This window comes from Homo sapiens, chromosome 1 (assembly GCF_000001405.40).
Source record: "Homo sapiens chromosome 1, GRCh38.p14 Primary Assembly".
NCBI classification, from domain to species: Eukaryota; Metazoa; Chordata; class Mammalia; order Primates; family Hominidae; genus Homo; species Homo sapiens.
In genome coordinates, this window is record NC_000001.11 from 100,989,228 (window position 1) to 101,016,111 (window position 26,884).

Here is a 26,884-nt window from a genome sequence, read left to right on the forward strand (position 1 = left end):
GACTAATCCATTGTTGCCTTAAAACTTACATTTTTAAAAATTTTATTTTGTAGTCAGCAAGTTTTCCATTTGTCTGCTTGGATGTGAAAGATGCTATTTAAAACCAAACAGCAACTGTACAAGGCTGGCTGAACATTTATAATTAAACAATCTTATAACCTCCAAAATACAGCAGAGTATGAGCCACGTAATTAGGATGTCAGCTAACCAAGACAGTGAATTCAGAAGAATGTCATTTTGTGGCATGTGCTCAGCTGAGCTTTAAGTCAGACTGCTGGATGGAAATGTAATCTTTCTACCTTTGTTTATATACACTAATACCAGCTGCTGTCAGGACAACTCCTCATGCAGTAGGGACAGCTAACTTTTTTAAAAAGAAGAAAATTATAAACATATTTTGTGAACATTTACTAATCTTTTATTTGCTTTTCTTGGCACTCATAACATTTTTTACCCTTTAAAACAGATTCAAGTGATTCAAATTCCAGTTACCTCTAAGTTATATTCTGTTAACAACCACCTTGTATAAATTGGTTTCATAAATAAAAACTGCTCTTAAATGATTCTGTCAGTGGATGTCTATCCACAAGCTTTCCAGCCTGGTCTGCTTTATGTGTACATCCTGAAAATTTGCCAAAATAGCAGCAACAACTGATGATATCATAGGGAAAAAACTCACTGCCACAAGAAACCAAGCATTGTTGAGTCAACTTCTTTTTGGTCACTTGTTTTATACTTACTAGATAAGCCAAAAGACCTGTTTGTTACACAAACATGCATGCATCCAGGTATTAATCCATTCTCACACTGCTATGAAGAAATACCCGAGACTGGGTAATTATAAAAGAGGTTTAATTTTCGACTCACAGTTCCACATGGCTGGGAAGGCCTCAGGAAACTTAACAATCACGGTGGAAGGCACCTCTTCACAGGGCGGCAAGAGTGAGAATGAGAGCCAGTAGGGGAAATGCCAGGCACTTATAAAACCATCAGATCTCATGAAAGCTCACTATCATGAGAATAGCATGAGGGAAACTGCCCCCATGATTCAATTACCTACCACAACACCTGGGAATTATGAGGATTAAAATTCAAGATGAGACTTGGGTGGGGATACATCCAAACCATATCAATCCATATATGGCTGAAATTTACATCAGACAATGGTAAATATCTATGTTCAAAGTCCATTGATGCTTTGAGATTCTGAGCTATTTTCTGGTATGGAAAACAGACTTAGCATCTCCATCTCCATTGGATGTATGCTGCCTCCTGTGATGATCAAGGAATGCAATGGTTCTCCCAAGTCCACAGTGCACATTTGCCTTAAAGTGCCTGCTGCAATTTTCTGGTCGTCGGCTCCAACCCTGGCTAAGCCAACACAAAGTGTCTCCTCGGTAACTGCTATTAAAAAAAAAAGATACTGCTATTCAATTCAGCAAATGCATCATCCATCCAACAGTCAAACAAACATTAGTACCACAAGTACATTTCAAGAAGCCCCAAATATCTTAAATCTCTTTTGCCACTTATGGACCAGTTATCCATTAATTCATCCAAGGGATTTTCTAAATCATTTGTATTACCTAATATAAAAGAGTACTTCCAAACTTTACCCTTTCAGAATTACAAAGGCTTACACTAAGCTTTTAGGACTTGACAAGCTATACTTACACTCTACAATTGCACAGCATTCGTTTTTAAATAAGTTCTGAGTAAACAATGTTTATTACACACAGGTTTTTAATAACTTGCTTGAGATAATGTTCATATTGACCTAGATATACTGAAGAAACCATGAGATTATGAAATAAATTCACAGATTTGAGTTTCTGCCTTGCCATCCAATTAGCTGTGTGATAAACTTCAGTTTTCTCATTTTTTAAAATGTAATACTCCCTCTTTTAAATCATGGTAATGAGAGCTAAGATAGTAGATATGAGACTAGTAGACTATAGATTCCTTAACAAATAATGAGCATTTGGCACTATTTATGTTTTTCAGTTAAAAACAGCCAGCCTTAGCTTTAGTATTATTCACTCTGGTGCTACAGCTAAAGAGCTGACCCTTTAATGGTTGTATTGTTTAGTTGGGAAAGGGGTCTTGATTGAACAATGATCAAAAGGGGGCAAATGGTTTATCCAAGGACAAACAGGAATGCAGGAAACTTCTGTACAAAGTTATGGATATAGAACATCCTTGCAGACTATTTGTTTCACGACTTTAACATGGCCTACCAATGAGAATAAAATAAGCAACAATCACTCAAGAATCTCTTGACTGGGTGCGGTGACTCGCACCTGTAATCCCAGCATTTTGGGAGGCTGAGGCAGGCGGATCGCTTGAGCTCAGGAGTTTGAGACCAGCTGGGCAACATGGTGAAACCCCATCTCCACCAAAAATACAAAAAAATTAGCTGGGTGTGGTGGCATGCACCTGTAGTCCCAGCTACTCAAGTGGCTAAGGTGAGAGGGTGGCTTGAGCCCGGGAGGCAGAGGTTGCAGTGAGCCATGATTGCACCACTGCACTCTAACTTGGGCAACAAAGCAAGACCCCATCTCAAAAAAAAAAAAAAAGTCTCACAGTGGGCCAGGCGTGGTGGTTCACACCTGTAATCCCAACACTTTGGGAGGCTTTGGGAGGCTGAGGTGGGAGGATTGCTTGAGCCAAGGAATTCGAGAAAAGCCTGGGCAACATGGTGAAACCCTGTCTCTACCAAAAACACACAAAGAAATTAGCTGGGCATGGTGGCATGCACTTGTAGTTCAGCTAAGGTGGGAGGATCACTTGAGCCCAGGAGGTGGAGGCTGCAATGAGCTGAGATAGTGCCTCTGCACTCCAGCCTGCGTGACAAAGTGAGACCCTCTCTCAAAAAAAAAAAAAAGAACCTCCCATAAAGATTTATTGACAATAAACATTTCTATTATATACCACACACTGTGTCTACATATTAGGAATATAAGAACAAATTTTCTCTTATATTTACCCTGAAGAAAACTATTCCTAGTCTCAATATTAAGAATGAAAGGAGGGAGAATAAAAGAACGATAAGTATATTTTTGCAGGATAGATCTCACCATTGATTAGGGATAACATAATAGATATATTTTACAAAAATATTTATACAGTAATATATTTATATCAAATGTGACTTATGTTTAATTTGTGAAAAATCCTCACTTTCTGGAATGGTGTTAATTATACTATAAAAGAATGCCAATTTTTTTTTCTTTCACTACAACTTGAAGCCTATGGGATTTAAGTTAAAGTTGGACAAAAATGACAAGAAATAGTACAATACAAAAATACTGACTCTTGCTTCCATAGTGGTATGAGATATTAAGTCATATACACATCTAAATGTAGTAACAGAGGAATAATATGAGAGCCCTTCTAGTGTCTTGAGTACCTGGTTCTTCTCCTCGTATTCTTTGATTTTGAACAATCTCCAGAAGCTGCTGGGCTGCTTGGTTTACACTCATATACCGTGGAGGTTCATAGATCTTCCTTCCCCTATAGGCAGAAAACTAGATGCCACTGTTCTTAGCCATGAAACTACATAATATGTTATTAATGCAATTAGCTCTCCCAGGTATACTCAAGTACCACAGTCTACATTCTGTTTGATGTTTTTTTACATGTACTCACTTTAAGCATACACAAAAGCATGATGATTGTTCATTTCTTAAGCTTTTTCATTGTTCTAATTTAACTTTCCTCTGATCTCACTGAAATGATGGCAGGAACACATAAAGATAGATGTCTAAATGAAAGTTATCTTTATTCAAAGTGATACCTTTGGTAAAAACAATTCAAAGTAAGTGGCAATTTGGTCTATACTCTAGCTTAATCAGGTTATTTAGTGTCCTTTTTATGACCATTTTTAAACCACATATTCTTTTCACTGTTTCCTCTAAGAAAAGTAAACTAAAGCATCTTGGATGCTTAAAAATCTCAGGTGATGGCATACGTTTATTTCTGTATGCCTCAAAAGCCTATCAGGCTTGCCGAACTATCATATTAACAAAAATATAGCCATTGCAGGCCAGGCGTGGTGGCTCATGCCTGTAATCCCAGCACTTTGGGAGGCAGAGGCGGGTGGATCACAAAGTCAGGAGTTTGAGACCAGCCTGACCAACATGGTGAAACTCCGTCTCTACTAAAAATAAAAAAAATTAGCGTGGCTTGGTGGCGCACGCCTGTAATCCCAGCTACTCAGAAGACTGAGACAGGAGAATCAATTGAACCCGGGAGACGGAGGTTGCAGCGAGCTGAGATGACACCACTGCACTCCAGCCTGGGCGACAGAGCAAGACTCTGTCGAAAATATAAATATATATATATATATATATATATATATATATATATATAGCTATTGTGGCTTACAACACAGTTCAAATAGATTATTTTACTGACTCTCAAAAAAATTCTGTCAGTGCTATCCAATAGAAATATAAATGAAGCCATATATAGAATCAAGTTTTCTAGTAGCCATATTAACAAAAAAGTTTGTAAAAAGGCAATTTTTTTTTTTAAGACAGTCTCACTCTGTTGCCCAGGCTGCAGTACAGTGGCGTGATATTGGTTCACTGCAACCTCTGCCTCCTGGGTTCAAGCAATTCTCTGCCTCAGCCTCCCGAGTAGCTGGGATTACAGGTGCCTGCCACCATGCCTGGCTAATTTTTTTTGTATTTTTAGTACAGACGGGGTTTCACCATCTTGGCCAGGCTGGTCTCGAACTGCTGACCTCGTGATCCACCTGCCTCGGCCTCCCAAAGTACTGGGATTACAGGCATGAGCCACCACGCCCAGCCAAAAAAGGCAAAAATTTTAATATTTTAATTAATCCAAAATGTTGTAATTTAACACCTACTCATATAAAAATTATTAAAGAGATTGTTTTTATATTAAGTCTTTGAAATCTGATATGTTCTTACAGCACACCTTAATTTGGATATTAAATTTTCATTGGAAATAGTTGATCTGTATTTAACTTTCATAAAATTTATGGTTTTAACAGTTGATTTATATACTAAAGCTGTTCCAAACATACTTAAAAGTTTTCCAATAACAGAGTATCATTTTTTAATTAATTAAAATTAAATGAAAAATTCAGTTCCTCAGTCACATTAGCCACATTTCAAATGCTCCTTAGTCACAAGTGGGTAGGGGGTACTGTATTAGACACTGCCTCTCTAAGTAAAAAAGGATTAGTACTATCATTATACATCTGAAGAAAATAAGGCTCAGAGATGGAAGTAACTTGCCCAAGAGCACTCAACTAGAGGCAGACTCAGGACTCAAACCCATGCCTTTTTTTTTTTTTTCTCACTCTGTTACCCAGGCTGGAGTGCAGTGGCGTGATCTCAGCTCACTGCAACCTCTGCCTCCCAGATTCAAGCGATTCTCGTGCCTCAACCTCCCAAGTAGCTGAGATTAAAGGCACGTGCCACCACACCCAGCTAATTTTTCCATTTTTAGTAGAGACGTGGTTTCACCATGTTGGCCAGGCTGGTTTTGAACTCCTGGCCTCAAACAATCCACCTGCCTCAGCCTCCCAAAGTGCTGGGACTACAGGCATGAACAACCGCACCCGGCCTCACACCCATGTTTTCAGAATCCCAACGCATTAATTCATTCCACAAACACTGAGTGTCTGTTAGATGCCAACCACTGTTCTCAGTGTTGAATCCACAAAATATATTGCTATTTCTACTCTATTATACTGCTTATCATTTCGTAAGAATAAAAATGCTTAATGTTCACACTGTTAATGAGAGCTCATTTTCAACCATCTTTAGAACTCAGGTCATTTAAGTAGAATGTATTGAATTGTTCAAGGAAATAAAACACATGTATGCATTCTCAGAATAATAACTTACTTGATTAGATTTTCCAAAGACTGCTCCTTTACTTTGATGTCTGTAGGAAGTAAAAATAGTTCTTTTAATTTAATTAAAAGCTTTATCCAAAACCCTATGTGTAAACCTCAGTTAAGAGTCACCTAAATTTTGGGGAAACACTCTTCCCTCACATTTTAATTAGCCACTTTCTTACAGTAACATAGAGAAGAATGGAAGCTTGTGGTTGTGCCACTAGTTAGAAAACAAACATGAACTTGGCCCTGAGACCATCCTGCTAACATCTAATTTCCTTTTGGAAAAGAAGACAAGGGAAAGAATTAGATAAACATTGGCATATACACTACTAACAGCTAATCACAATCTTTGTTTTCATTTCTACCAGCTAGTAACTGCACAGACCCATCTGAAAGCCCTTTGATAGATGTAATGTAAGTAGAAAAAAATCTTTTCCACATTTAAAAAAGTCTTTTGCTTTCTGACGAATGTTAACACATGCCATAATTTTGAATAAATACTTTAATTCTAAGTATTCATGCTTTTAACAGGGATTTGAGCATGGACTGTGTGTCAGACGCTGCGTCAGAGACTGGGATACCACAGGGACCTGACCAGATATAAACTCTGCTCTCTAGAAGCTTGACAGTCCAAGCATCACAAATATTTGATTCGGTATACTTTTTAATCACTCATGCTCAACTGAACTATTTGGTAAAAGGTAAAAAAGCAGAATCACTCTACATCCTCAAAGGAACTCAGTATACAACAGCAACAGCAACAGCTGCTTCCTGCTTTACATGCTGAAAACAAATGGTTCAGCCAAAGTTTGTTTTTGCAAAAATAAACATAGTGCAACTGAGGAGTCTTTAATAGACTTATGCAGATTTCCTAAGTGATTATAGAAGTGTTTCTTATAAAGGATATCAAAGAGTTTGCTTGGAAATTATAGCAGAGTTAATATTAAATACATATTTTTAAATGTTCTTGGAACCAGCATTGAAAGCCTTTTTCAGGTTTGAAATATCATTATTTATTTAATATTTCTACTTGTCTGTCACATTATGGAGAAAAAAACGAATGCCTGTTATTAAGAATGTGGCCTCCCTATAATCAATGGTGTTAGTCAACTTTCAGATTTCCTTTAAATTACGTTTCTAAGATTTTAAAAATTTTAACCCGTTTATTAATTCATTCACTCTGAGCTTCTGAAATGTTGTGATGAGATTTTTCATATTTTCAGTTGTCTTTACTTTTCAAATATGCTCTATAGAATCTGATTTTTAAAAGGAAGAGGGTTGAGGAGAATTTTTAGACGCAAATCCTTTTTAATCAAGGAGTGCATTCGTGACTTCGTCTCAAGCCAGACCCCGCATTACTTTTCCCTTGTCTTCACACAGTCCATAATTATTCCTCTCTATTTCTACTTGCTAGAATGTAAGGTTCTCTGATTCATCTTAGTACCAGGACCTAGCATAATGTGAAGTACCCAGAAGACACTCCATAAATGTCTACTGAATAAATTTACTCAAGTGACTCTCCTACCACTCAGTCACCAGCCCATATTAAACTATCCACTCTCTGGGCAACGTAAGTCCTAACTCCTTCATAAAGTCTTTGTTGACTTCTCCTCAAATGCTTTTTGTTCTTGGAAAGATCTACACAATTAATGCTATCTTTTATTAACCTCTAATTATATCATATATATTGGTCTTGTCTTTCTAAGTAAATTTTAAATTCTCTGTGTTTTCCTGCCATGGTTTATCCTCACTAATCCCTATGGAACTTAACCCACAGCAGGCATTGAATAAATACATACTAATTTAAATAATGAGAATGCCAGATGATAAAACGATGAGAACTATGGTTTGAGGATTTGAAATCATGACATCCTATACTTCACACTCTGTTCCTTCCTGCTTTTGTTAATGGAGCAAGGAAGATACATTGTTTAACCTTGTTTGTCTTTTCCCAGGAAAGCTAAGAAAAGGGGCAGCTCTTAGAAGGACAACTCAAGAGCCACATTTCTAGTTTGTCCTTCCTGCCTCTCCATACAATAGAATTTTTGTTCTTTAAACTTTCACGTGCACAACACATTAGTTCCAAACTAGATTTCAAAGCTTTGAGAGCAGGACCCACGTCTACACTTCCTTAGTATTCCAAAAGAAACTAACTCTACATGGGGCATAGGGTAAGCACTCAATAAATACCTGTACACTGATCTTCTATCTGCCTTTCCAAAGCTTCTGAAAAGATAAGTGCTGCTTCCTCTCCTTCCTATCTTTTTTTTTTGCTTTTGAGAAGGAGTCTCGCTCTGTGGTCCAGGCTGGAGTGCAGTGGTGCAATCTCAGCTCAATGCAAGCTCCGCCTCCTGGGTTCACACCATTCTCTTGTCTCAGCCTCCCGAGTAGCTGAGATTACAGGCACCTGCCACCACGCCCGGCTAATTTTTTGTATTTTTAGTAGAGATGGGGTTTCACCGTGTTAGTCAAGATGGTCTCGATCTTCTGACCTCGTGATCCACCCGCCTCAGCCTCCCAAAGTGCTGGGATTACAGGCGTGAGCCACCGCACCCGGCCTTTCCTGTCATTTTTAATGGATATATGGGGAGGTTATCAGGTAGCCTGCCTCTCAGATTCTTCCTTCCCTGTTCTGTTTTAGAACCTTTCAGTACTGTTATAAAACATATATTCTAGTATCTGAGCTCCAATGAATCCCCATTTTTCATCCCTCAGATACATCTACTTCTTTAGCAAAAGTCCTTTTAAAAATTATCCTTCGCCCGTCATCTACTTTGACCTTCTACCCACAGCTGGCCTTAACTGGATCTAACTTTGGGATAACAAGATGGATATATCTGATGGCATAGTCCACACCAACTCACAAGTCTTACAGTGTCCTTGTTAGTAAGGACTATAAAAAAAGTAAGACCAGTCTCTTTTTACAAGGAAAATTCAAAGACAAAATTATAAAGATAATTAATGATGAATGAAGCACTAAATCACACTGGCAATAAACTAAAATAAGAAAACATCATACTAGCTGATTGCAAATATTGGCATAAGACCAAAGAAAATGTGTTAGAGAAGCGTTTATGGCCTAATCTAGATCTATAATTAATTAGATGCCAAGAATAAAAGGGGGGCCGGGTGCAGTGGCTCAAGCCCATCATCCCAGCACTTTGGGAGGTTGAGACGGGCAGATCACTTGAGGCCAGGGGTTTGAGACCAGCCTGGTTAACATGGCAAAACCCCATCTCTACTAAAAACACAAAAATTAAACAAGCATGGTAGCAGACTTCTGTAATCCCAGCCTCAGGAGGCTGAGGCAGGAGAATTGCTTGAACCTGGTAGGCAGAGGTTGCAGTGAGCCGAGACTGCACTACTGCACTCCAGCCTGGATGACAGGGTAAACCTTATCTTAAAAAAAAAAAAAAAAAGGAATTAAAAGGAGTGTATTCTGGCTGCAATTGACTGAACTAGCAAGAGTTAAAGATTTTCTGTGCCAATGGGTCATAAGACCAAGTCTGAGAATATAGACTAAATAAAACTTCCATTAACTTCCATAAATATTTATTTAGTGCCTACACTGTGCTAGACTTCTAGACATTAGGAAGAGAATAATGAGCAAGATAAAGTCTCTGCTCTTATGAAGCAGTGAAGAAATCAAGTTAATAAGGTAATTCATATGGCTGGTAAGACTATGAAGAAAGTAGTGTAAGGTTATAACACATCACTGAAGGGATTCAGGGTGCAGCACATGAGATTAAATAAAATTTCACTCAAGATCAGGAGCCAGCAAACTTCTGAAAGGGGGCAGGCAGCAAATATTTTAGGTTTTGAGGACCATATGGTCTCTGTCACAGCTACTCATCACTGCTGTTGTGGCATGAAAGTAGCCATAGATAATATATAAATGAAGGTGCACGGCCATGTTCCAATAAAGCCTTATTTACAAAACATTAGGCCAGATGTGATCCATGGGTACTTGTTTGCTAATCCCTGCTGTAGATATTAATTTCTATCCTAAGAAATGCCAATCATTAGTAAAAATGTATTATAATCTTTTCTATTAAGACATACAGCCAGGCACCGTGGTTCACTCATCTAAGCCCAGCACTTTGGGGGGCCAAGGTAGGTGGATCGCTGGAGCCCAGAAATTCGAGACCAGCCTGGGCAACATGGCGAAACTCCATCTTTACAAAACATACAAAAATTGGCTAGGTGTGGTGGCGTATGCCTGTGGTTCCAGCTACCTAGAAGGCTGAGGTGGGAGGATCACTTGGGCATGGGAGGTTGAGACTGCAGTATGCTGAGATTGTGACACTGCACTCCAGCCTGGGAGACAGAGCGAGACCTTGTCTCTTAAACAAACAAACAAACAAAAAATTTATTTTGTTGCTTAAAATTAAATATTGTTAAATAATAGAGATTGGCTATATTATGCAAATAGCTTAAAAATTTTTGGCAAATTGGCCAGGTGCAGTAGCTCATACCTGTAATCCCAGCACTTTGGGGGGCAGAGGCGGGCAGATCTTAAGGTCAGGAGTTCGAGACCAGTTTGGCCAATATGGCGAAACCCCATCTTTACTAAAAATACAAAAATTAGCCGGGTGTGGTGTCAGGCACCTGTAATCCCAGTTACTCGGAAGTCTGAGGCAGGAGAATCGCTTGAACCTGGGAGGTGGAGGTTGCAGTGAGCCAAGATCACGCCACTGCAATCCAGCCTGGGCAACAAGAGCAAGGCTCCGTCTCAAAAAAATAAAAATAAAATAAAAGGCCGAGTGCAGTGGCTCACGCTTGTAATCCCAGCACTTTAGGAGGCCGAGGCGGGTGGATCATGAGGTCAGGAGATGGAGACCACCCTGGCTAACATGGTGAAACCCCATCTCTACTAAAAAAAATACAAAAAATTAGCCGGGCGTGGTGGCATGAACCTGTAGTCCTAACTACCCAGGGAGCCAAGGCAGGAGAATTGCCTGAATCCAGGAGGCAGAGGTTGCAGTGAGCCGAGACTGCACCACTGCACTCCAGCCTGGGCAACAGATTGAGACTCTGTCTTGAAAAAAAAAAAGTGGCAAACAGAAATCTTGTCTTATATTCTGAATATCTGTATTTAATATACAGAGGCCAAAATCATGGGCTTATTCTCTGCCCTGATCTTGTGCTATGTGATAGACATTTTGGTGAGTGACTTCACACACAGTTTCAGTAACACAGTACAATTCAAAGTATGATCTCAGGACCAATGCCAGTATGTGAGCTTTGTGTTGCCAGTAAATGATGAAGTAACTACAGGAGTAAGAATATGTACAAAATTTATAGTAACTTGACACTGACATAAAAGACCGAAAATTTAAAAATCAAACATATGTTTTAAACAACCCAACCATGGTTCTTTACCACAAATAGTCTGAGAAGTACTGCTCTATATAACTCCATGAAGTAGGAGGAATTATTCCTATTTGATAAATATGAAGGCTAAGGAATGTTTACAGTACTCTCTAACTAGTAAGTAGTAGCACTGGGATTTTGTCTTCTGATTCCAAGTAGAAGTATCATTGCAAAGTCATCAAAAATGTCAGTTAGCTGTGTTCTGTTTAGTCACAGATTAAGTCTTTGATACCAGTATTTCTTTCTACAACATATGCTACTAGAATAGGGGCTGATTAGCAAATGTGAATCGGTAAAATTTCAGTGCCTCTGCTAGAAAGAAAACACCATGGCTTTCTGAAACTCAGTACTATTATCTTGGAAAACAAAGACAGTGATCCCAGCTCTTTCCACACTAAAAAGGAAATAGGATTTGGGGAAGAAGGTACAGTGAAATGAGCTATTATTAAAAGGCTATCTGATTCTACCAGTTCTGCCAACAATTGACTAGGTGACATTGGGGAAATAATTCAATATTCTGGGCCTCAACTTCATCTGTAAAACAGGCCTCAATAAGATGATCTCCAGAGTCTCTTTCAGATCTATCATTGTGAATCTGATAGCATCAATACTGCAGTATTCAAAGAACCTCCCTAGGAAGATGCAGGATGGTCCTTGGTAAGGCTTGCTCAGTGCATGTCTATTGGATTGCAGTAAATCCTTGATGGACAAATGAGTAAGATATGGAATACTGGAGAGGATCTACTAGGGCAGGGCATAAGAGGGAGCAGTGTAACTATGGTGTGTATGCAGAAATAGCCATGTGGTACTTGAAGCAGAAGATGCGTGTCTCTCTAAGAGCATGGGAAAGAGTGTGGTCTGCATAGAATGGCTAGACTGTGTCTTTTCTTACCTCTAGCTAATTATCCACAGACCTTAACACAAAATCAAAATGAGAACAGTATGATAGTTCCATATTGTTACTTCAAGGAAATTCCAAAACCCTTACCTAGTAAACATAATGTGTGCATGCCATTTTGTCTGTTCTTCTTCACTTTGTCAAAGAAGCTTTCTGGTCTCCAAGTGTCTGTCCAAAAAACAATAGAAACTGTCTCTCCAAACTTATATAACTAGAAAAAAAAACATTAATTAATGATGGAACAATTAACTACTATTTCATAGATAAGGAGAGAATTTAATCATTTTACAACCAAAATAAAAAGTGAATATCCAACTCGAAATGGGTTGGGGATCAAATCTGTCACCAAAAAAGGTAACAGGAACTTCTCTTTGGTTCATGGTAGCTGGTGTCTTTCTGATGCTAGTAGTAAGTAAGTTTCAGTAATAAGTTTCTAGTATTTCTGCATTCTGTATAGGAACATGTGTAACAATTTCATAATTTAGCTATATAGTTGCTAAAAATACTGAAATGCAAAGAACCCAGGAGAAAAAAAAAAGAGTTCTGAGCAATCAGAGCGGGGTTCACAAGGTTAATATTGTTCTCATTTTACAGATGAGACCATCAAGGCTTAGAAAGAGCAACTGACTTAGCTAGTCACATAGCTAACTAATATAAAAATAAACACTTAAATCTAGCCTGAGGGAATGCTCCCTTCCATCACACTATCTCAAGAAAACAAAGCATATGCTCACTCCTGTCATTGTTCCAAACCTATAGTCCCTTAATTTGGCAAGATTGTATTTGTTCCCTCACTATAGAGTTCAGGGATGAGGGCCTTTTTCCAAACCTTCTCTTTAACCCACAAGTGGCCCACCCAGGTTCACCATCACTACAACCAAGAAGCTGGCTTCTCTGATCCAGACTGGCTGAACTAGCTCACTTAAGTGAGTCCAATTTCAAATCTTATGTGAGAAAATCTACTTTTGAATTCTGGCTCTGCAACTTGTTGGCTGTGTGATATTACTGTAAGATTTTATATCTAAAATAGGAATAGTGATAAAATTCTGTTTTTCCTACTCCTAGGGTTGTGAGGATCATATTACATGTAAAAAGTTATTCAAACTGTGAAACAATAGGTTAATATTAGTTCTTATCTCAGCACTGAGCAAAGGACATTTATTTTCAAAGACAATATAAAACAGAATACTAAAGTTGTATAAAGATTTAATTATTCAATTTAAATAGTACTTGAAATAATTTATAATAGAACTGGTAAGCACTAGACTCACATCTAGTCCTCTGCCACAAATTAACCGTGTGCCTGAAATAGCCATGTGACTTCAGGAAGTCACTTTTCTCAGCCTTGGGTTCTTCAATTAAAAATGCAGAACCTGGTCTGGAGCAAGGATTAGTCATCCTCTGCTTCCAGTAGCCTAAGGCTTTTCAAATCAGTTTCAGAGGCTCAGCAAGATATGAGGGGAAGACAAGCAGGAAGGAAACAGAGAAGGTGGGGCATTCAGGTGTTTCATCCCTAATTCCCTAGAGCAGCAGCTCAACGTTTCTCAGTTTTTACATAATGAGGTCCTATAAACTATAATCAACACTCATAATGGTGACTTTGAGTTCTAAAGGGAAGGTTCATCATGTTCTTCATAGGCCACAGCCTACATCTTACCTACCAACAAGGTTTACTCCCAAAGTCCATTTGAAAGCTGCCTAAAAACATATTATCTCATAGAAGTTATGCTATTCAGTAGCAATCAAATTCACAGGTCAGTGTACAAAGACCCATGTAACTCCAAGTATTGAGTCATGAAACTTCCTGCCACATGTGACAGGTTTCCCTGTGACAATGTATTTCTAGTTCCAATGTGGAATGCCAGGAATATGTTCACTCTGTGCCAAGCTACCAGGATCGGTCCTGGCCCTGCTGAGGGGTTTTGTTATTATTATTGGGTGATGAGAGGCAAACTTAGCCAACAAATACTTATTACAGATCATCTACTATGTACCAGGTATTATGCTAGTCACAGGTTTAAAATGACAGGCAAAACACAGCTCTGGCTCTCATGGATTGTGCAGTCTTGCTCATGTCTCATACAGCAGAGAAAGGCTCTGCAGTCATGGCACTGGTTCTTACTATGATTAATCATGGACAAGTCAAGTAACATTCCCAATCCTTGGGAGGAACCCTTCTACAAAATGGGTATAATAACTGTAAACATAAAAATGTGGTTTTTAAGGGTTAAATGACACAAAGTATGCAGAGTGCCTAGTAGTGCCTTGCACATGGAAAAGTCTTAGTGTTAGGAATTTGATGATATAATAATGATAATGTTTTAATAATGAAGATGTTCTAAAATGCTGTGTCCTGCTTTAATCCAACTGCTTTCCTTATTGGAGTAAGCTCAAAAATATTACTAAATACTTGAAACTACATTTATGATTTCATTCTGACAAGTTCAACTGTTTACATTCTAAAAAGGATTTTTCACATCTCAGATCAAACTATGAAATATTAGTATTATTCCATAAAAAAGCTTCAAGGTAAAACTGTTAAAAAAATTATATATGCAATAATACATACTTTAAATGAGTCTTAAATACTTTAAGAGTCATGGGAATACAGTCATGGAAGGAAATAAGTTCTTCATTCAAAAAGAAAGTGACAGACCACTTAAGAAAGAATTGAGATGCAAGTCACATATAAACACTAAAGCATTTTGTGTAGCAGTGTCTTTGAATTGTCTAATTTGAGAGATTAAAGAAAACCTCACACAAGCACTGCTCTCCAGGACCCTGATTTATAAACTGTAACCACTCCTGTAGCTGTGGTGCAAACTTCTTCAGTGAATCCTGGAACATTATGCAAACAATTTCACCATATGTCAATACCTCAAAGAACAAAAGAACCAGTTCTTTGTGTTTCACAATCGAAGGGCTTACCAGTGAACTATACTAGAGCAAAGTCACACAGTGATGAGAACTGAGATTGCAGAAGCCTAAGTATTGAACCATCCTATAATATTCATATAAGCCTTTGTGCTGTGATCATTTTTCCTCCAAAACATTATTGCTGCAAATCTAAATTTAAAGACTAAAAAAACAGCTGTTTTGTAAGAAACAGTAGGTAAACACAGGCCTTTTTAAATTTTAACCTGGAGTAACCTATAGAGAAAGCAGTTTACCTAACTTATATTGGATTATGTTTTATCTAGGACAAAACCCAAAAAAACTCAAAACATCCACTCATTAGGCATAAGGCACAATCTAGTTAGAAGATGCTCAAGAAAGACAATAGTAGGTAGTAGTAATTATTATTAAATATGCTATAGACTCTAAGCATTATAAGGATTCAGCATTTCCCCCACTAAGAGGGCATCTGAAGGCATCTTCTGAAAATACAAGGCGTAAGCTAGACCTTGAAAGACAGTTAAGATTTAAGACTGGAGAAGCCGAACATGGGGAAAGAATGAGATACTATGAACAAAGTAACAGAGGCGGGAAGTCTTGGGCAATATTTAAAATGGCATTAAGCCATTACCCAGAAATAGCTAACTGTGCCTGACTTCTCTCTAAACATATATCTAATTCCTGACATCTTATTTAGTGCCAATTCCTGTAAATTCTGCTGTATATTTTATGTAGCTGACTACTCATTTCTTTCCCTACAACCATGGTTTGAGCCCTCAATATCACTTGCCTGAATAACCTTAACAGTCTCCTAACTCATCTCATAGCCATCAATATTTCTTTCCTTTTAGAAGCATAGATGCTTTGTAAAACTCCATTTTAGATTTCAATGCTTTTGTTATTTTGTATAACAAATAAAAATATTTTCTGTGGTATTAAAGCTAAAAAAATCTGTTAAGAAAAATTAAACTTGCTAAGAACTCTATTAAGCCCTGCAAGTATCATGTATTTATATCCTAAATTAAATCAGTTAAATCTGTGAAGTGAAAGAAAGCCAAGCCAGCAAAACTGTCAAAAACTGTACCACAAAACCACATAATCAAGAGTGACTAGTTTTCTCTTCTATACAGAATACTGTTCTTGGGGATGGGTTTTGTTTGTTGTTGTTTTTATCCCCACATACAATTTGCATGCCATTGATGTAACATTGATTTTTGATGACACTAAGGAAGAGTATGCACATGGCCACACACTAGGTACATAAAGTTGAATGACTACGTAGACAGAAGAGCTACAAGATTTATTCTCACACATAAATGAGAGCCACTTGTAAATTAAATTTTAAAATGACAATTTACAGCATATAATTTCAAAGACAAGATCGAACTCCAGGGTGGAAGGCAGGGGGTTGGGGGAAAAAATAAATAAGAAATTCAACTCAGCAAGTACTTGTGACATATTCATTATATGCATGGCACTGTGATAGAATGCAATGGCAGATAGGAAAATGAGTAAATCAAAGAGTTTATAATATGATAAAGTCATAAACATATATAACATGGCTTGGCTGTGTCCCCAACCAAATCTCATCTTGAATTGTAGTTCCTATAATCCCCACATGTTGTGGGAGGGACCCGGTAGTGGGGGAGGTGAGGGGGGGAGCAGTTACCTCCATGCTGTTCTCGTGATAGTGAGTTCTCACAAGATCTGATGGTTTCATAAAGGGATTTCCCCCGTTTACTCTGCGCATCTCTTTGCTGCTGTCATGTGAAGAAGGATGTGTTTGCTTCCCCTACAGACATAATTGTAAGTGTTCTGAGGCCTCCCCAGCCATGCTGAACTGTGATTCAATTAAACTCCACAGTTTATTGACCTCAAAGTCAATTTGACCTCAAAATTGAGTCACAATTGACCTCAAAGTCAATTTCCCAGTCTTGGGTATGTCTTTATTAGAAGCATGAGAATGGACTAATACAACATACAAGTAACTGAACATTCTATATAGGATGGGGATTAATTTACCAAAATTGTTTTAATAGAAGAATGGCACAATTATATTTACGATTTAAAAAGAAAACTATGAAGTAGGAAAAAAATGATGGTAAGGTGGCTATTTAAAAAAATAATGATTAGAACCAGTAATAAGTGGAAACAGAAAGGAAGAAAAAAAATTAAATATGCTCATGACTTAGCAGGTAGTCAAAAACTGTTCCTAAGTGACTAAAAGAATAGAAAGAGCTTAGATTATTTTCTTCTAAGACCACGGAAGGATATAGAACTCTAGATGATAAAATCTAGCTTAATACAAAGAACACTAAAACTAGGTGTTCTTTGTATTAAGCTAGGGTTTTTCATGACTACATTAGTCCCTGGACAACAATGAAACCAATTAATGCTTCTGAAAAGTAACGATAAGAATCACTACAAGGTCGACAATGCTGACTATCACAATGAATGTTGTGGTATTAAAAAAAAGAGAGGAAATGAGTTGTTACTTTCTGAAAGTAATATACATTTTTCCAAACTAGAAATGCATTATATAAACAGATGAACATATGGCAATACTCAAGGTCACTCATGCAATAGCAAGAGAAAGTGGAAACATTTCACAATGATAGGAAATTATACAACCTTTTCTCTGAAGTCAGCCACAACTGATAATGCAGTTTTTATCTGAAATCATTGCTACCTGGTTTCATGGAACTGTCTCATTTATCTGCCTTTTAAAATGTTTTAAAACCATTTCAGTCACCAAATTTCTACAAGAGAACTAATATATTCTATCACACAAATGATTAAGAAAGATAATAAAATTCTATACAAAGAAGTATTTCAGAATTTGTAATTTTTTCTAATATTTGTTTGGCCTATAAGATCAAGTAAATATACACATACTAAGTGTTGAATAAAAAGACTGAAATGTGCCAAAATTGGTAACTGTGGATATCTCTAGGTGGTGGTACTATGGATGCTTTTTTATTTTCTTTTTATACTCAATATATCTTCCTAATTTTCTGTGAGCATAGAAATCATTTATTATCAAGGAAAATGGTTCTTCTAAAGCAGGAACAATGCTAAATGGAAGCAATTCTGATTCTGTATGTCTAAGCTAACTGCTTCTGCAGAAATGTTAAACTCAAGAATTCAAGAAAAGGACTTTGGCCGGGCGCGGTGGCTCATGCCTGTAATCCCAGCACTTTGGGAGGCCTAGGCAGGCAGATCACGAGGTCAGGAGATTGAGACCATCCTGGCTAACACAGTGAAACCCCGTCTCTACTAAAAATATGAAAAAAATTTGCTGGGTGTGGTGGTGGGCGCCTGTAGTCCCAGCTACTCGGGAGGCTGAGGCAGGAGAATGGCATGAACCCGGGAGGTGGAGCTTGCAGTGAGCTGAGATCGCGCCATTGCACTCCAGCCTGGGCGACAGAGCAAGACTCCGTCCCCCCCGAAAAAAACAAAAAAACAGAAACAAAAACAAAAACCAAAAAAAAAAAACAAAGAAAAGTGCTTTATTCTCCTATCTTCTGTGTATTGAGAAAAATCTCGGATTTATTAAGAGTGATCCTCAATTTATTAAGCAAATTTTCATTACCAGGACATCTAAACACAACCAACATGCCTGGCTTTAGACATACAAATAGGCTTTTCTTTCATTAGAAAAATCTGCAAAATGTTAAACAAATACAAGTGTTAGAAATATGTTAGGAATTTAAAAACATGATTTTAAAGTATATGTGTTTATAACTATTATTTTAATGTGAAAAATCCTAAAATTTATTGAATGAAAATTTGAGTACCTAAAGTATCTCAGTCAAGATAATCTTTGCTAAATGTTGGAAAAGAGGCTGGCTTTTTGGCTTCCAAATCTATATTAGACCTTATCTAGTTTAGTAATTTTCATACATCTTACTGGCACTTAGTGTACATTTAGTTCTTTTTTTCTAAATGAACTACTCTTAAGTAAAACATCAATAGAGTTAAAGATAATGATTGGGCTCCCTGAGGATCTAAATCTCTGTTATTTAGTGTTATGTCATTACTTCATTGTCTGCAGAATCCCTAAAGCATCTTCATACATCATGGTGTGGTTTGAAAACCAACATTCTCATCCAGTCTCCCTCCCAATCCTCACCACATACCCTTACAGTAAAGTAATCTGAGATCCAGAGAAGATGACGCCTTAGTTACTGCCTAGGCAAGAAGTAAAACAAGGGCTTTTAAGTTGAAGTTCAATTCTAAATCTTTTCCATTATATTTTTCCTCTACCAATTCTACCCAATATGTAGTCTATTCTTATTCAACATAGATATATTCTAAGCCTCGTGTTAACTGACTCCCTAGACAGCCAAGGTTTCTTTGGTATTTATGTATGCACATATTTGTATGTGTGTGTGTGTTACTGCAATACCTTACAGATTCCCTAAAGTGCTTCCAAGACTCTCTCTTTTAACTACACTTCTCTCTCTGTTAGGAATGCCTTCTGCCCTCTTGCCTATCTAGCTAACTTCGTATAATTCATTTTTTTAACCACTTTACTGCATTATCATCACATAACAATAACTCTTCCAAGCATATGATTCAATGCTTTTTAGTAAATTACCACGCTGTGCAACCACTGCCATACTTAGTTTTAGAACATTTTTCATCACCCAACTAAGACCCCTTATGTCCATTCACAGTCAATCCCTGTAATGCCCAGCCCCAAACAACCATTAATTACTTTCTGTCTCTACAGATTTGCCTTTTGGGGACACTTCATGTAAACAGAATCAAATAATACATGATCTTCTATGTCTGGCTTCTTTCATTTAACATACATGTATTTAATACCTACCCCATGACTTTAACTCTTCCCAAGACATTAGTAGAGACTTCAAGGCAACATCCATACCCTCAAGAGTCTAGGAGTAAGATAAACCTAATCATACTCTTCCACATAATCAATTCTATGATTAATCTATGGTCCTGAAAGCACAGAAAGACTGGCACAGGGCTCTTAGTGACAGGAGGCAACTGCTCTAGCAATAACAAGTTTAACAGAACCAATCAAAGTAGGAAGCCAATCGAGCAGTAGTAATAGAAGAATCCAGGCCTATAGACAAGTCTTTGGGGGTACAAACCATAATAACTGTGGTAGTGGAGATGGTGGAAAAGGACCCATTAGCATAAAGACCCCAATTCCTTTCCTAGGACTATCAGTAAGGCAGAAATGGCTCTCTACATCTCCCCAAATCTCAATTCTCTTAATAGAAAATGCTCTTACAAGTTCACTTTCTAAATCTTCTCTTATGCCCTACTCCATACAGTACAAGCCACCATCATCTTTCCTCTAAATGACTGTAATTTAGAGAATTTCCTCAATTCCAATCTTGCCTGGCAGTAATTCAATCTCCACATATTGGCCAAAGCTTATGTTTTAAAAAATTTATCAGATCAAGTATTTATACTGCTTAAAACCCTTCAATGTCAATTTATGTCACTTAGGATAACATCTAAACTCCTAATGTTGAATGAGAGCCTAGTGATACAGCCCTATCCACCTATCCAACCTCAGGTCACTCTTTCCCTTGCCTGCTATGGTCCAACAAGCCCTTCCTTGGTTCCTTTAACAAGCCAAGCTCATTCTCACTTCAGGGCCTTTGCACTGTTTCCTCTGTATGGAATATGCTAGTTCCTTCTTGATTCATATCGAATCTCAAATGTCACCTTCTTAGAGATACCTTCCCGACCTCAGTAGTGACTTAGTCACTCTCTAAATACCAGTCTACTTGAATTTCTTATGCTTACCATTATCTAATATTTATCATTTTATTGATGTTGTCTCTTCTGCCCACTAAAATAGAATCTCTTTGAGAGCAAGGACCCTATTGGTCAAGTTTATCACTGTATCCAAAGGCACTTAGAAAAATAAGTAGGTTAACAGTATTTGTTGAATGAATGGATCACTATTCTCTTTAAAGATGTCTAACTTGGAAGCCTCTAATACACTTTTTATTTTACAAGGAAAATTTTCATCAGGAATATGGAGTTTGTGGTAGAGAATTTTATTTTATGGCAAGTCTGTAAGATAGTGTGTATCAACTGGCTGTGTGTGTGAATGTCTGTGTGTATGAAGGAGTGTTAGATAGTTATACAACAATTTTTACCATCATAGTGATAAACAAAAATTTTCTGTTGGCTAATAAACTACAAAGGTAATGAACAATACTCAGTGGTTGATTCTGAACTCTGCATGTTGTTTCTTTAGAAAATAACAAAAACAACAGAATAGTTCAAAGGGGGTTGATAAATTGATAGCTGAAAAGTCTGTCTATTTCTAGGTTAGAAATTTCATACTGCTACTCTTTAATCTACTCTGTTCAATAACTTGATGGCTGTTTTTGAACTCATGGAAAGCTCTTTCATGGAGATGACAGAATGCCTTTTCACAGTGGTTCTTATCTCCCTTTTAAAAAATTGAGCAAGAGAGCATGGCAAGATAACCTCTCAACATCCTACATTTAACAAGTGTATACTGGGAATTAAAAACCTACTCTTCCAATCCTGCCATGCCAAAAAAAAGACAACACAGTTCTTTCACTTTCTAAGTTTTTAATTTGTCTAGGTTGGTAATTCTCAAAGTATGGTACCTGTAGCAATAGCTTCAGTATCACCTGAGACTTTGTTACAAATACAAATTCTCAGACCCCATCCCAGATCTACTATATCAGAAAGTCTGAATATGAAGCCCAGCAACCTGTCTTACAAGCCCTCTAGGTGATTCTAATAAATACTAAGTCTGAGAACCACAGATTTAGGTTATTTTTTCTTCCATAAGCGCTAGTCCAAAAAGTAAAGAGAAAAAGGCCAGCTATTATAAGGAAGAAGACTTTGTCAAAGTACTTGCATTATGCAGGATATCTATACATTTATTTTAAAATTTAAGTGTGTCATGCATATGATTTTTAATGCTTTTTATGTTAAAAAACTGTACAAAAATGAATCAACAATTACCTCTTCTGATATGAATAATTTCAGTGGTATAAGAAGTATATCTTCATAGAAATGTGATCACTATATAAGACAGAACCTTAAAAGGCACCTCCTGTTTTTCACACAAATAGCCATTTCATATCCAGATTAGATAATAAAACTAAGCTGGGGGGAAAATGGTGTGTGGCTGTTTAGAGAAATCCCATACACAATTGTGAGAAAGTTTTTTGAAAAATAATATATGTGGATATGACTGTAGGTGCTTACATAAAGACTGCTAATTCTCACCGTAAATTCCCACTCAAATACCTTCACCCAATTTAGACACGAGAACAATTACACTTTACCTGTCTATCAGTGTGGAGGATCAGAAGGACAGGGTCACCCAGGTTTAGTTTTAACCAGTCTATAAAACAGATTTATATGGGATGTGTTCTATTTTTATGCTTAATAAAGAAGCAAAAAAATTAATTAAAAATAGCTTAATTTAGAGCAAAATATGGAGAAAGGGCTAGTTAACTTTCTTTACAAGACACAAAATTATATGAAATATGGTAAAAATGTATGTCCTATTAGCTTAAGGTTTACATATCTTTATTTATCAAATGATAATTTCTCTCCTTTTTTTCTTTCTTCTAGCAATTATCAATTCTTTTTTTTTTTTTTTTTTTTTGAGATGGAGTTTTCACTCTTGTCACCCAGGCTGGAGTGCAATGGCGCGATCTCAGCTCACTGCAACCTCCGCCTTGTGGATTAGGGTGATTCTCCTGCCTCAGCCTCCCCAGTAGCTGGGATTACAGGTCCCTGCCACCACGCCCAGCTAATTCTTGTATTTTTAGTAGAGACGGGGTTTCACCATGTTGGCCAGGCTGTTCTTGAATTTCTGACTTCAGGTGATCCACCTGCCTCGGCCTCCCAAAGTGCTGGGATTACAGGCGTGAGCTACCACGCCCAGCCATCCGTCATCAGTTCTTAAAAGGCAGCATTGTCACAAGCTTGTCCAGTCTGCCTTATTTTGTTGTTGTTTTTCTGTTTTGTTTTGTTTTAGGCTTTTAGCAGCCTGAAGCCATGGTTTTTAGTTTCTGTCTCTAGTGATAAGCAGAAAAGAGGGATGAGGAAGGGGCTTTACTGGCCGAACCAGCAACAGAAACTAAGAACCCATGACTGTACTCTCTCCCTTGGACACCCCCAGAAGGGAAGAATACTGGACTAGGGATCAAGAGTTTTAGCTCCATCTACCTACCTGAATGACCTTGGGAACATATTTTGGCATCATTTTCTCCATCCCTATAGCATTCTTTGTAGTGCTAACATTTTATAGTTCTATGAACAGCATTTGACTTACTCCAACACAGAAATGTTCAGAAGGGTTTCAAAATGGGAAAAAAAGACTTGAATGGGCAAGGTTTTTTAAAAAGTATGCATTTTGGACAAAAAAGATAGCAAAATTCCATGCTAATTTAAACATAACAACTAAGAGCAAGTGGTGAATACTGTCAGGTCAGGTCAATCATTTATACTTTTTCTCTAGTTCTTCATAAACACAGGCAACATTTTGACATAAAAAGCCAGTATTAGTCAATTAAATTGAACTATTCTCTCCAAGTCATACAGAAAATATAGTCCTCTAAAGCTACAGACATAGCATTGGTGCCTGATGCTAATGTATCTTCTTGAAAATATCTATTTTTAAATTATGTGTTTCAGGAAGACACACTGGGAAATACTTATTTCACAGCTTCTAAGATGCATGTTGTTTTCCTATTATGATATATCTGAAAATAGGAATGTGTCTTAACAATTGATGATGTCTTAAAACCACTGTTAGCCAAGCAGCAGTCATAGTTGTCATGGATTATCCATGTGTGAACATCAGAATACAAACACCAAGCTTGGAAAATGATAGTAGCTAAGATATAAATGATAAAGATATAAATGATAGTAGCTAAGAAGTAAATCTTGGAAACAATTGTGGGGCACTCTAACCCCTCAGAACCAAGACTGTTGGACACAAAAATAACTAACTTTACACATCAATAACTGCAAACCTGGTTTAAAAGCCCATATCACTGGCTTTTAGCTTTTATACTGATTCTATTAAGAAATGCAGCATCACAATGCTCTTGACAGCACACAAAACAATACTATATGAAAAATCATGGGCCTCGACAATGCTGAGTATGTCATTTGGATTAGTTTATATTTTCCTTTTTATGTAAGTACAAGTTGGATTTAAGGTTAAAATCATTTTCTAGCTAAATCTAAACATTCGATTCCAATAAGGGGGAAAACCTAGCATAAAAAAATTAGTGTTAAAAAATTCAGTCTATGTATATACTAAGCAGCCTAGTATCAAATAGTAGTATGTTTTATGATTCATAAAATACAATTAAATGTATTTTCAATTTGTGGAAAAATAAAACATTTTTATTTAATTCCACTGAAAAACCTCCTTTGTTGCATTACCTGTAAACCACAGCAGCCTACAGCATTCATTATGGAGGCATTGTGAATAACTCTATAAGGAATTCCCAGCTTTGTTGCTCTTAGAACAAGATCACTGTGTGTTGTGGCCCTGTAGTGAGAAAAGATTAGATTGGATTAAAGCAAACAACACTTTTAAGACAGTAAAGCTATATTTCCTGAGTTCATGTCAATTAAAGAGGCAGGAGCACTGCCTTTCTTCAAATTCTTCCACACACCTGCATAAGGCTTTCATCTGAGCTTTTTAGCAAGAAAATGCAAGACTAAACATGCCCTTCAAAATGCTGAGTTGCTACTGTAACACTCCTAAAGCAGCCTTGGCAGCTACTTAAGAAAGGGACCTTTACTTGCCCACTGTCCTGTAAATACGTGAAAAAGACATCTATGAAATATAAGCTCAGCAACTTAACTCTTGAGCAGCAATTCTTAAGCTCTTTGGTCTCAGAGCCCTTTTAAATTCTTAAAATTACTGCTCTAAAATTCTAAATTAGGGCATAACTAGAATCACTGCTCTATTTTGAAGACTTTGTCTTTGTATTTAAAATATAAGGCAGAATATACACGTATACCATGAAGATATTGCAAGTTTGGGTCAAGATAACCACAATAATGTGAATATCAAAATATAGCCAGCCACATTAATTTTTTTGGTTTCTTAGTGCATATAAAAGTTATGTTTATACTATACTGTAGTCTGTTAAGTGTGTAACAGCATTATGTCGAGAAAATGTGCATACCTTAGTTTAAAAACACTTTATTGCTACAAAATGCCAACAATCATCTGAGCCTTCAGTGAGTTTAATCTTTTTGCTAGTGGATGGTCTTGGCTCCATGTTGATGGCTGCTAACTGATCAGGGTGGTGGTTGCTAAAGATGGGGGTGGCTGTGGCAATTTCTTAAAATAAAACAATGAAATTTGCTGCATTGATTGACTTTTCCTTTCATGAAAGATTTCTCTGTAGCATGCAACATTGTGTGATACCATTTTACCCACAGTGGAACCTCTTTCAAAACTGGAGCCAATCTTCTCAAACCCTGCTAGTAATCTATCAACTAAGTTTATATGATATTCTAAATCCTTTGTTGTCATCTCAACAATGTTCACAGCATCTTCATCAAGAATAGATTTCATCTCATGAAACCACTTTCTTTGCCTGTCCATAAGAAGCAACTCTTCATCTGTTCAAGTTTTATCCTAAGATTGAAGTAATTCCTTCATATCTTCAGGCTCCACTTCTAATTCTAGTTCTCTTGGTATTTCTACCATATCTACAGTTACTTCCTGCAGTGAAGTCTTGAAGCCCTCAAAGTCATTCAGGAGGGTTGGAATCGACCCCTCCCAAACTCCCATTAATGTGGGTATTTTCACCTCTTCTCATGAATCATGAATATTTTAAATGACATCTAGAATGGTGAATCCTTTCCAGAAGGTTTTCAATTTACTTTGCCCAGACTCATCAGAGAAATCACTATCTAGGGCAGCTACAGCCTCACAAAATATATTTCTTAGATAGAAAGACTTGAAAGTCAAAATTACTCCTTGATCCATGGGCTGTAGAATAGGTGTTGGGTTAGCAGGCATAAAAACAATAGTAATCTTCTTGTACACTGCCTGAGCTCTTGGGTGACCAAGTGCATTGTCAATGGCAATAATGTTTTGAAAGAAATCTATGTTTTTGAGCAGCAGGTCTCAAGGGTGGGTTTAAAATATTCAGTGAACCATGCTGTAAACAGATGTGCTGTCATTCAGCTTTTCTTGTTCCACTTACAGCGCACAGGGAGAATAGATTTAGCATAATTCTTACAGGACCTAGGATTTTCATAAGGCTATATATATGAGCACTGGCTTCAATCTAGAGTCACCAGCTGCATTAGCCCTACCAAGAGTTAGCCAGTCCTTTTAAGTCCGGCATTCACTTCTCCTCTCTAGCAATTAAAGTCCTACAAGGCATCCTCTTCCAATAGAAGGCTGTTTCATCCACACTGAAAATCTACTGTGTAGTGATTCATCAGTTACCTTAGCTAGACCTTCTGGATAACTTGTTTCCACAGCTCATACATTTATGTTATAGAGACAACTTTTTTCCTTAAACCTCATGAACCAACCTCGGCTAGCTTGGAACAATTTTTCTGCAGCTTCCTCACCCCTGTCAGCCTTCATAGACTTGAAGAGAGTTCGAGCCTTGCCCTGGATTAGACTTTAGCTTAAGGGAATATTGTGGCAGGTTTGATCTTCTATACAGAACACTAAAACGTTCTCCCTATCAGCAATAAGTCTGTTTTACTACCTTATCATTAGAGCATTCGTAAGAGTAGCACTTTTAATTTCCATTAAGAACTTTTCCAGCCAGGTGCAGTGGCTCACATCTGTAATCCCAGCACTT

General features: G+C 37.3%; 2 protein-coding genes across 11 annotated transcripts in view; one reads left to right on the top strand and one right to left on the bottom strand.

The window, feature by feature from the left end:
- Nucleotides 1–6,851, top strand: part of SLC30A7 (solute carrier family 30 member 7) — a 99,989-nt gene extending 93,138 nt beyond the window's left edge. The window contains exons 12-13 of one of the 2 annotated variants that reach the window (XR_246237.4): nt 6,247–6,292; nt 6,410–6,851. The gene's annotated coding sequence lies outside the window, so the exon portion shown is untranslated. Of the gene's footprint in view, nt 1–6,246 lie in introns of both variants that reach the window. The other variant, XM_017000400.3, reaches the window with a different exon arrangement.
- The window catches only part of DPH5 (diphthamide biosynthesis 5), a 36,162-nt gene continuing 9,673 nt past the window's right edge, over nt 396–26,884 (bottom strand). For 3 of the 9 annotated variants that reach the window (NM_015958.3, NM_001077394.2, XM_011541570.4), the window contains 5 exons: nt 24,483–24,591; nt 12,240–12,360; nt 5,883–5,922; nt 3,410–3,513; nt 396–1,404 (listed from right to left, as the gene is read on the bottom strand). In NM_015958.3, the coding sequence (NP_057042.2) occupies nt 1,181–1,404; nt 3,410–3,513; nt 5,883–5,922; nt 12,240–12,360; nt 24,483–24,591 (598 nt within the window). In that variant the 3' untranslated portion in view covers nt 396–1,180. The remainder of the gene's footprint in view (nt 1,405–3,409; nt 3,514–5,882; nt 5,923–12,239; nt 12,361–24,482; nt 24,592–26,884) is intronic. The other 6 variants (NM_001077395.2, XM_047422513.1, XM_005270938.3 and 3 more) reach the window with 4 other exon arrangements.